The 17,971-nt window shown below is 36.3% G+C and overlaps 1 pseudogene; it reads left to right on the forward strand.

Moving 5' to 3' along the window:
• EXOC5P1 (exocyst complex component 5 pseudogene 1) lies at nt 9,410-11,739 on the forward strand (annotated as a pseudogene).
• The last annotated feature ends 6,232 nt before the right edge of the window (nt 11,740-17,971 follow it).

Raw genomic sequence — 17,971 nt, forward strand, 5'->3', positions numbered from 1 at the left:
ACAATGTGCATGAAGATACTGACTGGGACCTGGCCGATGGACTTGTTCCCGGGGCCCTAGAATTCAAGTGTTGGCTGTGATAGGGCTGGGTGGACTGTCTCCAGATCACCAGCAGAAGTCTGTGATGGGGTCAAGCAGAATGCTCAGGGGGTGGCAGACTGCTCAGGTGAAGGGAGACTCAGGGCAGATTATAGGCCTGTGCAGGCTGGGCCCTCAGAAGGGCTCCAGGCCACAGTTGAAATGGTCAAGTGGAAGCAAGGTGGCTGTGCTGTGAGTCATTCACTGGGGAAGGCAGGCCCCTGCCAGCTGTAACAATGGAGACCTGCAGCTGTGGGGCTTGTGACCCACTTGCACTTCCCTTCCACAGAAGCGGCAGTGTATTTTGCTGTTGGGGGTTCATGAAGGTGCCTGGCTTCTTCACTCTTTCCCAGGCTTAGGGACAGCAGGAGTGGCACAGTGGTAGTGGCGACTGCAATGGGAACAAAAGGGGGCTGGGCTCTCAGAGGAACACCATGCCAATAGCCAAAGTACTCAAGTGTGGGCAGGGTGGCTGCAGGTGCTGGGGACCTGATGCCAAAGCAGGTGGGCTCCATTTAGTGGGAGAGCAGAGGGGGTAGGGAGTTGTGAAGTGCATTGTCTGCCCATTCTTTTGTACCATTGCTGCTATATCTGTCTTTGGAGCATGCGTAAGTTCCGTACCCCAGTCTCCCTCTTTGGTGGAGTCACGTCAGCTGGTACCAGGCCACTTAGGGATTTAAAGCCTGTGGGATTCTACTTGGGCTTGAGCAGTGCCTCTGTGAAGACTCCAGGCAGCTTCCTGTGTCCCTCTGGAGGCCTGGGGGTATTGAGGAGGCTCTCCTGTAGCTAGGATTGTAACAGTCCATGGCAGCAGTGTGGAACCCTGGAGAGGATCTCTCACTCATGCCTTCCCTGCTTTAGGGAGCCTCCCACAACTTCATGCAGGACCAAGCTCAGCAGGCAGCCTGGCTTTGTTCTCCTCTGCTTTCCGTAATTTGTATTGCTTCTCTGATTAATTCAAGTGTGCTCACTTAGAAGATGTCCTTGAAGTGCTATTATGTTTCATTTTAATTCTTCTCCATGACAGAGGTGCCACTAGCTTCTTCTAGTCTACTATCTTGAACAGTAACATTCCATTATAGTTTTTAATTGCAAATGAAAAGTTGATATTCTGGTTAAGGTATGTATTAGAGTTCTCTAGAGGCACAGAACTAATAGGATATATATGAGTTTATTAAGGAGTATTAACTCACAGGATCACAAGGTCCCACAACAGGCCATCTGCAAGCTGAGGGGCAAGGAAGCCAGTCGGAGTCCCAGAGGTGAAGAACTTGGAGTCTATCTTCCAGGCAGGAAGCATCCAGTGAAGGAGAAAGATGTAGGCTGGGAGGCTAAGCCAGTTTCATCTTTTCATGTTCTCATGCTTGGTTTTTATTCTGGCTACATGGGCAGCTGATTAGATTGTGCCCACCCAGATTAAGGGTGGGTCTGCCTTTCCCAGTCCACTGACTGAAATGTTAACCACCTTTGGCAACACCCTCATAGACACACCCAGGATCAATACTTTGCATCCTTCAATCCAATCAAGTTGACACTCAGTATTAACCGTCACAAGTTATAACTTTCTATAAATGTCTTTCAAATGTACATGAAATATAAATCACATTAAGACTCTGATCATTTATTTAAAAAACTGATACATGTGATTGTTTTACAATAAGACCCTAGTATTTTATCATTAAGAAAAAATAATCCAGCCGGGCGCGGTGGCTCACACCTGTAATCCCAGCACTTTGGGAGGCCGAGGCGGGTGGATCACGAGGTGAGGAGATCGAGACCATCCTGGCAAACACGGTCAAACCCTGTCTCTACTAAAAAGACAAAAAATTAGCCAGGTGTGGTGGCGGGCGCCTGTAGTCCCAGCTAGGCTGGAGGCTGAGGCAGGAGAACGGCGTGAACCCGGTAGGCGGAGCTTGCAGTGAGGGGAGATCGCACCGCTGCACTCCAGCCTGGGCCACAGAGCAAAACTCCATCTCAAAAAAAAAAAAAAAAAAAAAAAAAAAGAAAAAGAAAAAAAATCCTCTAATTCCTAGAATAAAGAAGTGCAGGATACTCATTATATTTTCTTTTGAGCTCATATCACTAAAATACTAGTCACATATTAGACATCAAGGGATAAATGTAATTACGTACCAAATATGCACATATGTAGCTAAGGAATATATTATTGCATATGGCTTTGATACACTCACACTTCTGTATTGGTAAAACTTCTTGTGACAGAAAATAATCATGATTATATTTTAATATCATTAAGTTTCACATTATTAAAATGCACTTTATAGGTAGTGGTGAATTTTTTTTTTTTTTTTTTTTTTTTTTTTTTTTGAGCCGGAGTCTCGCTCTGTCGCCCAGGCTGGAGTGCAGTGGCGCTATCTCTGAGCACTGCAAGCTCTGCCTCCCGGGTTCATGCCATTCTCCTGCCTTAGCCTCTGGAGTAGCTGGGACGCCAGGCGCCCGCCACCACGCCTGGCTAATTTTTTGTATTTTTAATAGAGACAGGGTTTCACCGTATTAGCCAGGATGGTCTCGATTTCCTGACCTTGTGATCCACCCTTCTTGGCCTCCCAAAGTGCTGGGATTACAGGCGTGAGCCACTGCGCCCAGTAGGTAGTGGTGAATTTAACACATGAAATAAAACTGAACAGAGAAGAAGAGTTCCTGTCAAGGGCAAAACTATGTTAGATATCTTACATACTTATTATGGTTGACACAGGCAAATCATCTATGAATTTAAGCTTTGGTTTAAAATCTGATGTCAGAGAAAACTTCTAGGCCATATTAGAAAGTCTGTATTTATTCAGCACTCCTTCTCATTCTGTTAAAAACTCCATGGACTAATATTAACCTTGAAAATATTCTAAAGTTGGCTATTACATGCTTTTCTGATGACTCATATATTCAACACCAAAGTAGGAAACATAAAACAGATTATATATGATATATATATGTTATAATATATAATTGTAAAAATTTTACATGTGTACCTGTGTGTAATATCTACAACTGCTAAAAAGTTATATTCATTTAATGTTAGATATTAACCTTGGCATGAAGATGTTTTATCATTTTAATTTTCTGTATAAATAGAGCACACTCCATTCATTAACAAAAAATGGCTGTGTGTACTGAACTAAAACTTGGATTTTCCTATTCATGAAAATTTGATACTTTGAAATTAGCTTAAAAATAACTTATTAAAAATAAACTTTAGAGCATAAAAATTTTAAATATAAAACCAGAGGAATTTTATTATTTAAAAATGAATGCACTGAAAATTATGTTTTTCTTTTTATTTCTTAGTTTTAGAATCCCAAGACAAAATTTATTTCTTCTATCCTTTACCCAATGCTTCCCTTACTATAGACTCCCAAGTTAAAATAGAATTTCTATAAGCGATTTGTTTTACCATAGTAAAATAAAATTATCTTTGCTTAGTTTAAAAGGAAAATGGAACAAACCTCTAGATTTAAGTTTCTTAGGTTATTTAATTTTAGGTAAACATCTAATTTTTATTGGCATCAGGGATAATTAATTATTGTGATGGTTAGTACTGAGTGTCAACTTGATTGGATTGAAGGATGCAACATATTGATCCTGGATGTGTCTGTGAGGGTGTTGCCAAAGAAGATTAACATTTGAGTCAGTGGGCTGGGAAAGACAGGCCCACCCTTAATCTGGGTGGGCACCATCTAATAAGCTGCCAGCAAATACAAAGCAGGCAGAAAAACGTGAAAAGACAAAACTGGCTTAGCCTCCCAGCCTACATCTTTCTCCCTTGCTGGATGCTTCTTGCCTTCAAACATAGGACTCCAAGTTCTTCAGCTTTGAGACTCAGACTGGCTTCTCTGTTCCTCAGCTTGCAGATGGCCTGTTGTGGGACCTTGTGATCCTGTGAGTTAATACTCCTAATAAACTCCCATATATACAGGATAGATATATATATAATAGGATATATATAATCTATCTATATATATAATAGGATATATATATCTTATTAGTTCTATCTTTCTTGAGAACCCTAATACAATTAAGAATTTTAAAAATGTAATAAATTTGTTCTCTAGAATCAGCCAATTTATAAATGATATGAACAATTGAATTATTTTAAAATTTTTGAAAAATAACCCCAACAATAATGATATTACTTTTTTTTTTTTTTTTTTTTTTTTGAGACAGAGTCTCACTCTGTCGCCAGGGCTGGAGTGCAGTGGTGCAATCTCAGCTCCCTGCAACCTCTGCTTCCCGGGTTCAAGTGATTCTCCTGCCTCAGCCTCCCAAGTAGCTGGGATCACAGGTGCCCACCATTATGCCCATCTAATTTTTTGTATTTTTAGTGGAGACAGGGTTTCACCATGTTGGTCAGGCTGGTCTCGAACTTCTGATCATGTGATTCACCTGCCTCAGCCTCCCAAAGTGCTGGGATTACAGGCGTGAACCACTGTGCCCGGCCAATTTTATTACTTATTATGTAATTATTAACTACCATACACTCTTTTAAGTTAATATGTACTAACTTATTTAATTCTCTCTACAACACTATGACCTAGTTTAATACAATTATTACCACTTTAAAAGTGATGAAATTGACACTGAAATAGTATCTTGCCCAATTGAATGCAACTATTGTGGGGAGGAATCAGTATTCAAATGGAAGCAGTCCAATTCCAGAGTTGATTATGGCTTCTTTGAAGGTCAACAAGGAGAAGTTTCAATACAGATAAACGCAAAAGAACTTCTTAAACGTATCACCTCTTACTTTTGCACACTTTCTACAATGACCTATTATTGTATAATATTTGTCAAAGGGAATTTTATCTTTGTTCACAAGGAACATACATGAAGAATTTCAAATTTTATTTCAATAAAGTCAGTTTATCCTGAATTGTTTTTGAAGTGGATGGGTAATAATTCATAAATTATAAATAATGTTTTAGTTCTTTTGATCTTTTTCATCTAAGAATTCTTGCCTTAAACTTTTCCATTACAGACTCAAGTCTTGAGTCTTCAGATCATCTATAGCCCACTGAATAAAAGTTTGTATGACTGACACTTAGAATTGAACTAAATACTGCTAGGTAAAGCAAAAATAAATAAATAAATAAAGTTTAAGATAAGGTTGGAATTGAAATTTGAAGTTTTATTTGGAAGAAAGCGGAAAATAGGAAAGGATAGCATAATGAGGAACAAACCAGAAATAAGAAATAAGAAGGATAACGAAGAAATATGTATTTTAAACACTTATCTCAGCTAAGGATTAGATGACACAGCATAAAGAAAGCAGGATATTTTCTGTCCATAACCATGGAAATGTGGGCATTTTATTTGAAAGTTATAGTCAAGCAAATAACAACTAAGAAAAATCTCTCTGATTAGTTGGCATAGATAGATAGCCAAGCAGATAGATCCACGTGCTTGGAAAGCATATGATTTCAATAAAAACGATATACAAAATAGTATTTTGATAGATCTTGTTAACATTTATTTTAGAAATCACAAACAACCTTCTGGAAACTGTACTTAAAATGCCATTTCTATCAAGAACTCAACTGACTTCCAATAAGTTCTAAATATTATTGCTTTGGGCATATGCAAATTACTTTTTACAGGTAGGCAAAGCAATATCTCCTGATAATTCCTTCTTCTTCAAAATTCTCCTAATTCCACTAAAAATAACATATCATTTATTATAGCTAATATATTATTATGATTATAATGCTCTTCTCTCATTTGTGTACCTTAATTCTATTTTAAATAATAGATTCAAATTCACTTACAAATAATGCCACATATATGATCTGCTGACAAACCCTTATTCCTTTAAATCAGGCAAAAGAATCTTGCTATAGGTTGTCATCTAGCAAATGACTTTCTTGGCTCCTTGTCTTTACCCTCACTGGATTCCCCAGAAGATTATATAATGCAATCAATTTGGAGTATAAGGAGAATATTCAATTTGGCATTAAAATATCCAGTTCAAAACAAAAAACAAAATCCAGTGCAACCTAAATCTAAACTTTGGTTGCACATTGAATAAAAAGGTGTTTCCCTTTACTTCTGGCTCAGGATTAGTATTTTATAAGGGGAATTAGGGTGAGAAAGTATCTATTTCTTGTATCTCCTGAATGAAGATTGCAATGTTATTATTCTCTGTGTTCACATTTTTGTTCTCTGTGTGACAGATAACCAAATGTTGGATATTTCTCATACAGTGCAACAATTAAAAAGCCTTGGGAAAAATATTGTCATTAAAAAATCAAAATAATCCTTCTACTTCAGTGGAAACACATGAGATGGAAGGTCTTTCCACATATAAAAATTACTGGTCCAACTTGATACAATATCAATGTGAATTAAAGCAGTATATCCTGGACAGCATGGTTCTGGGTTATAGTTACTTGGGGCTCCAACTCTTCTTGGTGGACAGAACTTATGAGCTACATGGAGAAGTATGAGACCATGGTGTAGGTCAAAGAACTTAGAATAACTATATCTGACCAAGACAGCAGATACAGGCAGGACATGAGTGGTCTCAATGAAGGAGATAAAAGGCAGTAACTGGTAAGGCATTATGAAATTGAGAGGGTGCAGCTTTAAAGACGAAGAGACAGTGGTGATAGAGTATTCTTATGTTCTACAAGCTGGGAACACTGTAAGAATGTTCCTGTTCTTAAACAGAAATGTAAGAGTAGACATTGTAGATAATAGGACATCCTGTGTTACACAGCGTTTCCTAAAATGTGCTTTAAACTTTAGGAGCCTGCAAATTTTCAAGGCCTGAGAAAAATCAGGTTTTAGGAATAATTTTTGTAGTTACCTCTCCCATAGAGTTAGGAAATTGGCTAGCCCTTACAAATACTTGCCTCTCTGACTTAAATTTTTGTTTGATTTTTATTCTTTCTATTACTGGCATATGCTTTCCTTCAGTATATTTACTACATTAATTCATTTATAAAGCCAGGTGCTCATCTTGTCTATGACTTATTCTGTCTTTTTAATAAAGAAGAAACTAATTGGGGGCCCATGGAATTTATCTGGCCACAGATACACATTTTGTTATTGTTGTTTTTCATTTGTTTGTCTGTTTTGAACCTCGTAATTATTTTCCTTTAAATTTAAATGCCTTCAGTGACCAACTGTATTCTTTTCTAATTTGCAGTTTCTGTGACTCCCTCTTGTCTTATGCTTGAATCAATTAATTCATAGTAACTGTTTGCTTCTTGTGTACACGTGACTGTTTAGCCCTTTATTAAGTTGAATTTCTCTATGAATTGCACCATTCCCAGTTCATCCTCTATTTCCCCTTTCTGCAGTAACCAGGAGTAAGAGTTTCACTTTCTCAGCCTGTTGCCGCTGGGGGCAGATAGAGAACAAATAAGGCAATATCCTAATTAGCTGCTGCCAAATGAGCTCAGAAGGAAAGGCTATTGTAGGCGAGCTTCCCCTTTAGGGTTTCTTTTGGCTGGGCTTGAGAATTAAATTGACATAAGACAGACCAACAGGAGAAATGCATACACACTTATGTAATGCAAATTTTATGTGGCATAGAAGCCTTCATAAAGAAGTGAAGACCAAAGAAGAAGTTAAGGGTACTGTTTACTGAATTGGACACAGAGTAGTATGCTGTGAAGAGGCAACTAAATTATGTGAGAGACTGAAAAGATGAGTTATTCCAACAAGGTCTGTGCAGTGTTGTCTCAGCCCTGAGCCTTGACTTCTTGTCCTTGAAGATAAGGATGTTGCCTTCTTTCTTGTATAGGGAGAGTGGCTTTCACGCAGGAATTTCACCTTCTGCTTTTAGAAAACAGAAAAGAGGTCAGCATGATCTTTTTGTGCTTGCCATTTTTCAAGTGCCTTTATTTCATAACAGTCAATATGCCAGGGTGGTATATTTTTAACTCTTTCACTATCTTATCCCAGTTTTCTGCCAAGCTTTAATCAGAATTTATTCCAAAATGGTTTCTCTTCCTTAGATATCAAATGTTGATATACTTTGATATTAATCATGAGTTTTGAGTTATCTGTAATTTCACCTCTCACCCTACTCTATTATTTCATTTCACTTTATTTAAGCTATATTTTAAACTGTATTTTATTCTATTCTATTGTTTGCTCAGTCAGAAAATATTTTCCAGTGTTTAAAAAAATTTGTTATTAATAATTTTATTACTTTAAATGACACTAATATTGATAAATAGTATTTTTAATATGAAATAACAATGGATTTTATTCAATATTATTAATATTAATCATTAATATTAACAATCTATTATTAAAACTATTAATAATTTTAAAATATTAACAATTTTCTAAAAATTCAATAATGGCTGTTTTGTACATAAAAAGCCACACAGTATATTCTTCTGCAGCATGTCTCATTCCCACTTGTATCAGCAGTTCTATTGGTGAAGTGCTATGCCATTTCTACTTTTATAAACATCTATACTGTTGCTCTGCAACCTTACCAGTCACAAAAGTCTGAAGGTTATTATTTTTTTTTCCACCAATGAAAATAAACCTTCTACTTAATGTCATTTTTAAAACTTTACAACTGAAAAATTGGAATAGACCTAAAGGTGTAATAAATTATCAAATTGCTGAGAACATAAGTGCCATCTCTAAAATTTTGCCCTGTGTGCTATTATTGAAGTACTAATACACTAGGTACAGGGAGTTCTGAAATATTTTTTATTTCTCTTCTAACCAAGATACATCCAAGGATGGATAAGGATAAACAAAATAGTACTAGAGGGCAATCTTGCAAGATTCCTATGAGTGTTTGAGGCCTTCCTTTAAGATGAAAATAGAGTCTAAATAATTTAACTCTACAGAACAAGGAAATCAAAGTCAGAATCTTTTGATCAATGCCCAAAACATGAACTAAAATTCCAGTGGGCTTTAAACAATGGGTAATGAAAAGTTGACAGTCTTTACTCTGTCCACATTATAAGAATGACAACGACTCTCTGAATTATGAATCGATTATTAATTTATATAATTTAATATTTTTGAACTGATGACTTATGAATAAATTATATAACCAAGCTGCTTACTTTCTCTCCAGAAAATATATATACTTTTTGTCTTTCTACTCTTAAACCCTATTACCTTTATCTTCTGTCTAGTTCTCCCAGTTACCGAGAAAATCATATCAGGAAACTGTAATACAGACTATTCCTGCTCAAATCAGTTTTCTACACATCATCTTCTCAGACACTGATATGCCTGTAATTAATTATGATTTTATTCTTGTTAAATCTTCTTAATATTTTCTTTGTGTTATTCTAGTATAAAGTGAAACACCTTTAAAACACCTCTTAAAAAGAACCTAGGAGCAGCGCGGGCGGCACCGGGAGGCAGCTGACAGGCGTTTGCGGCTTCGCTTCATGGCCGCTCTCCCGCCCCGCCTGGGACACCTGTGCGCCGCGCCTCTGAGGCGCAGCATGTGACGCGGAGACGGCATCCAGTGCGGGGCGAGCCTCTCAGCCGGCCCGGATGGCTACGATGGCCGAGCTCTTCGAGGAGGCTTTTGTGGCAGATGAATATATTGAACGTCTTGCATGGAGAACCCCAGGAGGAGGCTCTAGAGGTGGACCTGAAGCTTTTGATCCTAAAAGATTATTGGAAGAATTTGTAAATCATATTCAGGAACTCCAGATAATGGATGAAAGGATTCAAAGGAGAGAAACTAGAGCAACAATGTCAGAAAGAAGCCAAGGAATTTGCCAAGAAGGTACAAGAGCTGCAGAAAAGCAATCAGGTTGCCTTCCAACATTTCCAAGAACTAGATGAGCACATTAGCTATGTAGCAACTAAAGTCTCTCACCTTGGAGACCAGTTAGAGGGGTAAACACACCCAGACAATGGGCAGTGCAGGCTCAGAAACTGATGAAATACTTTAATGAGTTTCTGGATGGAGAATTGAAATCTGATGTTTTTACAAATTCTGAAAATATAAAGGAAGCAGCAGACATCATTCAGAAGTTGCACCTAATTGCCCAAGAGTTACCTTTTGATAGATTTTCAGAAGTTAAGTCAAAAATTGCAAGTAAATACCATGATTTAGAATGCCAGCTGATTCAGGAGTTTACCGCTGCTCAAAGAAGAGGTGAAATCTCCAGAATGAGAGAAGTAGCAGCAGTTTTACTTCATTTTAAGGGTTATTCCCTTTGTGTTGATGTCTATACAAAGCAGTGCAAGGTGGGTGCTTATTTGAGAAATGATATATTTGAAGATGCTGCAATACTCTGTCAACGAGTGAACAAACGAGTTGGAGATATCTTCAGTAACCCAGAAATAGTCCTGGCTAAACTTATTCAAAATATATCAGACTTTCTCGTCTAAGCTTATCAAATCCATATTCATTTCCTATTTGGAGAACTATATTGAGGTGGAGACTAGATATTTGAAAAGCAGAAGTGCTATGATCCTACAGCGCTATTATGATTCGAAAAACCATCAAAAGAGATCCATTGGCACAGGAGGTATTCAAGATTTGAAGGAGAGAATTAGACAACACACCAACTTACCACTTGGGCCAAGTATGGATACTTATGGGGAAACTTTTCTATCCCAAGAAGTGGTGGTTAATCTTTTACAAGAAACCCAACAAGCCTTTGAAAGATGTCATAGGCTCTCTGATCCTTCTGACTTGCCAGGGAATGCCTTCAGAATTTTTACCATTCTCATGGAATTTTTATGTATTGAGCATATTGATTATGCTTTGGAAACAAGACTTGCTGGAATTCCCTCTTCAGATTCTAGGAATGCAAATCTTTATTTTTTGGATGTTGTGCAACAGGCCAATACTATTTTTCATCTTTTTGACAAACAGCTTAATGATCACCTTATGCCACTAATAAGCTCTTCTCCTAAGTTATCTGAATGCCTTCAGAAGAAAAAAGAAATAATTGAACAAATGGAGATGAAATTGGATACTGGCATTGATAGGACATTAAATTGTATGATTGGACAGATGAAGCATATTTTGGCTGCAGAACAAAAGAAAACAGATTTTAAGCCAGAAGATGAAAACAATGTTTTGATTCAATATACTAATGCCTGTGTAAAAGTCTGTGCTTATGTAAGAAAACAAGTGGAGAGGATTAAAAATTCCATGGATGGGAAGAATGTGGATACAGTTTTGATGGAACTTGGAGTATGTTTTCATCGACTTATCTATGAGCATCTTCAACAATATTCCTACAGTTATATGGGTGGCATGTTGGCAGTTTGCGATGTAGCTGAATATAGGAAGTGTGCCAAAGACTTCAAGATTCCAATGGTATTACATCTTTTTGATACTCTGCATGCTCTTTGCAATCTTCTGGTAGTTGCCCCAGATAATTTAAAGCAAGTCTGCTCAGGAGAACAACTTGCTAATTTGGACAAGAATATACTTCACTCCTTCGTACAACTTTGTGCTGATTATAGATCTGCCCGCCTTGCTCGACACTTCAACTGAGATTGAATTTACAAAGGAATTCAATGTCAATTCCTTTACGAGAAAAGTCTTGTACTTCAGCAGCCCTCGGTTGATAGAAAGCACAGGAGATAACTTATGACACAGCCAACATTTTGTGAAACAATGACTGGAACAAAACAGCAGCCATCCTTGCCTTTGAGGTTTTATTTAACGTTTCGATACCACTAGCTATATTTTGCTTTTTTCCCCTTACGTTGAATTTTAATTCCATTCTTGAATGTAGAAATTTCAGATTCTCTAAAACTACATGTCACTGTTTTCATCCTAGAAAATGTTTCTGTCATAAAGCAAAGGAAATGTTACCAGTGTTTTCGGTTCTTGTACTTTTAACGTATTCCATTTAGAAATTTTGCCATTCTGTTTTCCATTAATAGTAGGCGAAATACAGGAAAACTACATTTATTATTCCTCAGTTTTTGAAGAACTTTTCAGCATCAATTGTTAATCAGATTATTTTAGGTTTTCATAAATAATTTTTTTTGCCTCTTTCAAAAGGTTAACAGTTAAGCATACTTTCTGTAATTGGTTGATTGGATTTTTTTCTGAGGTACAACATTAATACAAGTCCAAAAAATGTCATAAACTTAACTAAAATGATGAAATATTTTATGTAGACATTAGGAGTGGATCAGAATACTTCTGCTTTCTGGGTAAAACTTAAAAGTTTACTATTTCATATTTGGTAAATAGGTTTTAAGCCAATTCTAGTAAGAAATTAATAAAACTACCTTATTTTATATTTCACTTAAGATAAGGTAGAAGACTTTAACTAAAGGACCATATTTATTCATTATTTTAATATTATAAGGGAAGTAAAAAAAATAAGGTATAGTCTAAATGGTGCATATAAGAAATATTGACAGTGTTTAGCAACAATGCAGTCCTTTAAGATTTCTGTCATAATGCTAAACTTGAATAAGATGGAATGGCTGAACATGTGTTTAGTCTTTTATTTTAAGAGGAATTGAGATTTGATAGATTTGGAAATGAGCTTTGCAAAGACTTTTTATGTCTATAGGTCTGTCGTTGTCCTTTTTCAAGGCATTTCTGAAGTTATTCCTACTTGTACATAATTAATGGAATTGGCTTAATTTGATGACATAATAAATAACTTATAAAATTTTAAACATCAAGTGAAAATTTAGAAAGGCCATTACTATTCTATAAACCTTATAAACTTGCTCTGGGAGAATGCATTCTAAATTATATGTAGTGTTTCAGCTCCCATTGTGTTGCTCATAGTCTTCTAGGAACAGATAAACTTAAGTATTCAGTTCACTCTTGGCATTTTTTCTTTAATATAGGCTTTTTAGCCTATTTTTGGAAAACTGCTTTTCTTCTGAGAACCTTATTCTGAATGTCATCAACTTTACCAAACCTTCTAAGTCCAGAGCTAACTTAGTACTGTTTAAGTTACTATTGAATGAATTTTCTTCATTTTCAGATTAGTCCAGTGTTACCAAGGTAAGCAAGGGAATGAAGTATACCAACTTCTTTGAAAGCATTTTAGGACATTATGGCAGCTTTAGAAGGCTGTCTTGTTTTCTAGCCAAGGGAGAGCCAGAACAGGTTTTGGATACTAGAGAAAGTCATATGCTTGTACTATTGCCATTTTAGAAAGCTCTGATGTGAATTGAAATTTTACCTCTGTTACTTAAAGCCAACGATTTTAAGGCAGTAGTTTAACTGGCCATTTAAGCTCTTTGTACAGTGTCAATTTGTAAAAAAGAAAAAACAAAAAAAAAATCTCAAATAAAACTTGAGATAACATTTTAAGACTTCCAAAAAAAAAAAAAGAACCTAGCTATATTAAAATAACAAAATCTCAACACACAGCCCGTAAGACTCAATGAATTTCACATGAAGTGAATCCTTCCATGATAACAGGGTGTTCCTCCCTCCTCTTGAAACTCCCGGGATTTGTTACAGTGGCTTTATTGTCTATTATATCAATGTAATTGCCATATTGTAGCATCTCAGGTTTATCTCCGTGGAATATTTGTCAGTAAGGGCTGCCTTCATTTTCTGTTTTTCTCCACTATTCAAAATTCAACACTAAACTTAGAACAGAATAGGTATTTTCTTTTGCTGATAATAGATGATATATACAAAAGTATATTGCAATCCTTGTTCTTTTATATTTTTATATTGTTATTTTTTTCTGATTTGAATCCCATCTATAGAGAATGAATTCCAGTGGGACAGTACAAATTTATGATAGACACAAAAGAAAAAAAGTTAGGAGCTTATGCATTTCATGTGATGTACAATATCTGCTTCTCTGTTTTTGCAGCGCAAGAGTGTACTTACTTACCCATTGGGAGATAATGATGCTATATGAATACATTTTTTAAGACTTTATTTTTTAGAGCAGTTTTTGTTTCACAGCAGAATTAAGAGAAAAGTAGAGACATATCCCATATCTCTTGGCCTCACACATGCATAGCCTTCCCTATTATCAACATCCTCCATCAAAGTATTGCATTTGCAATTGATGAACCTCATTTGACACACCATCACTCAATGTCCATAGTTTACATTATTCACTCCTGATGTTGTAGATTCTGTGGGTTTTAGACAAATGTTACTAAGTCATGTTCCCATTATTATAGTATCATTTAGAGTGTTTTCACTACCCTAAAAATCCTCTTTAATTTTTCCATTTATCCTTCCCCACACCCACTCCCCTAACTTCTGGCCACGACTTACTTTTTAATATCTCCATATTTTTACTTTTACCAGAATGTCACATAATTGGAGCCAAACAGTACATAACATTTTCAGATTCACTTGTTTCACTTAATAATACACATTTATTTTTCCTCTGTCTTTTCTGGTTTGACAGCACATTTCTCTTTAGCCCTGAATAATATTCCATTGTCTGGATGTACCACAGTTTATTTATCCATTTATCTACTGAAGGATGTCTAGGTTGCTTCAAAGTTCTCACAATTGTGAATAAAGCTCCTAGAAACATCCACGAACTTTTTTTGTTACGTCATTTGCGTGTGTCTGATTCCTTATTTCTTCTGACCTCCTTCAGAATTTTTTATTTTGTGCCTCATGGTAATATGCCTGTCAGTGTTCAGAGTTTCCCTATCAGCCAGCTGAGCCAACACTACAGAGAGAGTGAAGAATCTCTCCTGCAAATCTTTCTCTTGCAAACTCTCTTCTTCAGGTTTTGGATGGAATTCTTCCCTTTGAGAAAATTGTTTTCAGCTGATTTCTCCCTCTTGGCATCATTATTCATGACAGCACCTTTAGTCCTCTCTCTTCTTTATTCTTTCAAAAATTATTTTTATTGAAATATAATTCACCTACTTAAAACTAACTCCTTGGAAGTAAACACTTCAGTGATTTTTTTTATATAGTAAATATTTATTGCCTTTATCTCAATTCTTTCTCACATTGTACTTCTTTTTTTCCAAAATGTGTCATCTTGTTTTCTGGAACTCACATTCTTAGCTAAAATATCTCTCCCACAACCTAAATATTTTCACTATACTTTACCCTTATCTCATTGCACTAACTAAAATCTAGCTACCTGCTAAGAATATAACTCCTATTACAGCTTCCTCATTATCCTGCACCCCACCTACATTAGTGCTAGGAAGCAGAGATTACATCCAATTCACTCCCAAATGTAGTTTCAGGATCATTGCTGCTCCATCCTCATGTTAAAAGCATCTGTTCCTTTGAGCATTATGCCATCTGGCTGTGCCTATTCCTCCAACTACACGATTTTAGTCACTATTATTTTACTAAGTATATTATAACTCCCTCTCATTTACTGAAGAGTGTAGTACCTAGAATAAATGAGTCCTTTCTGCAATAAATTCTACTATTATTCTGGCTGACTGCCACATCCAAATGGGACACACACACAAGATCCAACATTATACAACACAATTTAAGTCCTTTTCTCCCCCAATATAAAACAAGGCCTCACCGCTCTTTCCCAAATGCTCTGTTTTAACTTCCTAATACCACATTTAGAAAAGTTGCCTTTCTCTGGCCATTTTTTCCCTCTCCCTCTTTTCATAATTAAAGGAGAAGCTTTCCTTCTGTCTGAGGCTTTGCCACTCTTTTTTTTCCACCTTCCTAGTGATGCTGATCCATTTCATTATTGTAAATCTCTCATATATTTTCAGTTTATCCATTCCTTCACATTGACATGTTTTTGTATACAGTCATGCCTTGCAAAATGACAGGGATATATTCTGACAGATGCATCATTAAGCAATTTTGTCTTTATGTGAACATCTGTATTATTTTGTTTTCACATTGCTCATAAAGACATACCTGAGACTGGACAATTTATAAAAGAAAGAGGTTTATTGGATTCATAGTTCCACTTGGCTGGGGAGGTTCTTGGTCTCACTGACTTCAGGAATGAAGCCACGGACCCTCGCAGTGAGTGTTACAGTTCTTAAAGATGGTGTGTCTGGAGTTCGTTCCTTCAGATGTTCAGATGTGTCTGGAGTTTCTTCCTTCTGGTGGGTTCGTGGTCTTGCTGACTTCAGGAGTGAAGCCATGGACCTTCTCGGTGAGTGTTACAGCTCTTAAAGATGGTGCAGACCCAAAGTGAGCAGCAGCAAGATTTATTATGAAGAACGAAAGAACAAAGCTTCCATAGTGTGGAAGGGGACCCACGCGGATTGCCACAGCTGGCTCAGGTGGCCAGCTTTTAGTCCCTTCTTTGGCCCCGCCCACATCCTGTTGATTGGTCCATTTTACAGAGTGCTGATTGGTGCGTTTACAATCCTTTAGCTAGACACAGAGTGCTGACTGGTGCATTTTTACAGAGTGCTGATTGGTGCATTTACAATCCTCTAGCTAGACAGAAAAGTTCTCCAAGTCCCCACTTGACCCAGGAAGTCCAGCTGGCTTCACCTCTCAATACTCTCCTCAATTTCAGTAAAAGGCATGGTAGTTTTCTAGTTGAGTTGCTGATGCCAGAAATCCCTGATTTATCTTTGATCCTTTTTTACTCTTTATTTTCTAGAATTCAATCAATTAGCACTTTCTCTTAAGTCTTATAAAGACTGCAAATATCTTGCCACTTCTTACTACATTCAGTGCTGCCAACTTGCTTGACCCACCATTACTTTCACTCAGATTCTTAGAATAACCTTCAAAGGTTTTTTTGTTTGTTTATTTCTGCTTTCTTCTGCCCTCTTGTTGCAACCCACAGTCTCTCATGGTAGAGCAAACATAATAATCGTTTAAACATAATTAAGATGTTACAAAAATTGCATTTTATCTCACATTACTCTACCTTTGTCCCTCTTCCTCTTGTAGATGTCACCATTTGATAAACCGCACATTTTCCTTACTTCTCTAATCCTTATGTATCTCTTTCTCTCCTACCAGAGTAAAAACAGTGTGGAGGCGGAAGTTTTCGCTCTTTTGTTTCCTAAGAAATGCCTATTGCAAGAACATTCCTTGACACATGGTAGACATTTGATAAATATGTGTTAAGTGCAGGAATAAAAAATGAATTTATAAAGTATACATTTAATAAGACTTGAAAATTATTTGAATGTAGAATATATGTGAGACTAATAATTTAATATGACACAAATTTCTTCTGTGAGTGACTATGAAAATTGATGTTTACATGAAATGAGAAACTATGTAACACTAGTTTAATCACGGGTCAGAAGAAGATGATGATTTTTTAATATGTTGGGTTTTGGATTAATATTAATGAATTAACATCAAATTAGCAATTGAAATTTAATATAAGAAGGAAAGCTAGTCTAACACATGGATTAGCAAATGGGCAGGTCATTTCTGAATTTCTTAAAACACATAAATTAAACATTTATTTTTTCTCCTGTTATTTCCTGCATAATGCCCATATGGTAAGACAGATTTTAACCCAATTTATGGTTATATTTGGGATAGTTACTTAAAATGTAGGCTTTGTAGATTCCTGGATACTTACCTTGAAGCCTGAGGAGAACCTAAAAGATCTTTTCAGCCTTCCTCAAGGGCAGGTAGAACTGATGAATATCTCCAGAAGTTCATTTTGACTGCTGAATGGTAGAGGCATATCAATATGTGTCTACATGCTGTGGATAAACAAAACACACAGTGTTTTAAAATAGAGTCTCTAAATGAAAATAACACTGATAAGTATTTCAAATTACAGATTCTGATTTGCAATCAGGCCTGTTTTCTCATGGAAAGGTCTAAGTGTGTGTTCCAGGGTGAGGAACAGCAGGATTTATCTACATTTGTTAATGATTCTCCCAGTAGACCAGCCAGCAATTTAATAGAATAGTTTGAAAAAAGTGCATAATTAATTTATAGCTTATAGAGTTGAAGAAGCAGCTATCACAATAATTAACTTTGAATGTCAACACTTGTAGATAGATTTTAGTTAGTGAGTATCATACTTCA

This window comes from Homo sapiens, chromosome 4 (assembly GCF_000001405.40).
Source record: "Homo sapiens chromosome 4, GRCh38.p14 Primary Assembly".
Lineage (NCBI taxonomy): Eukaryota > Metazoa > Chordata > Mammalia > Primates > Hominidae > Homo > Homo sapiens.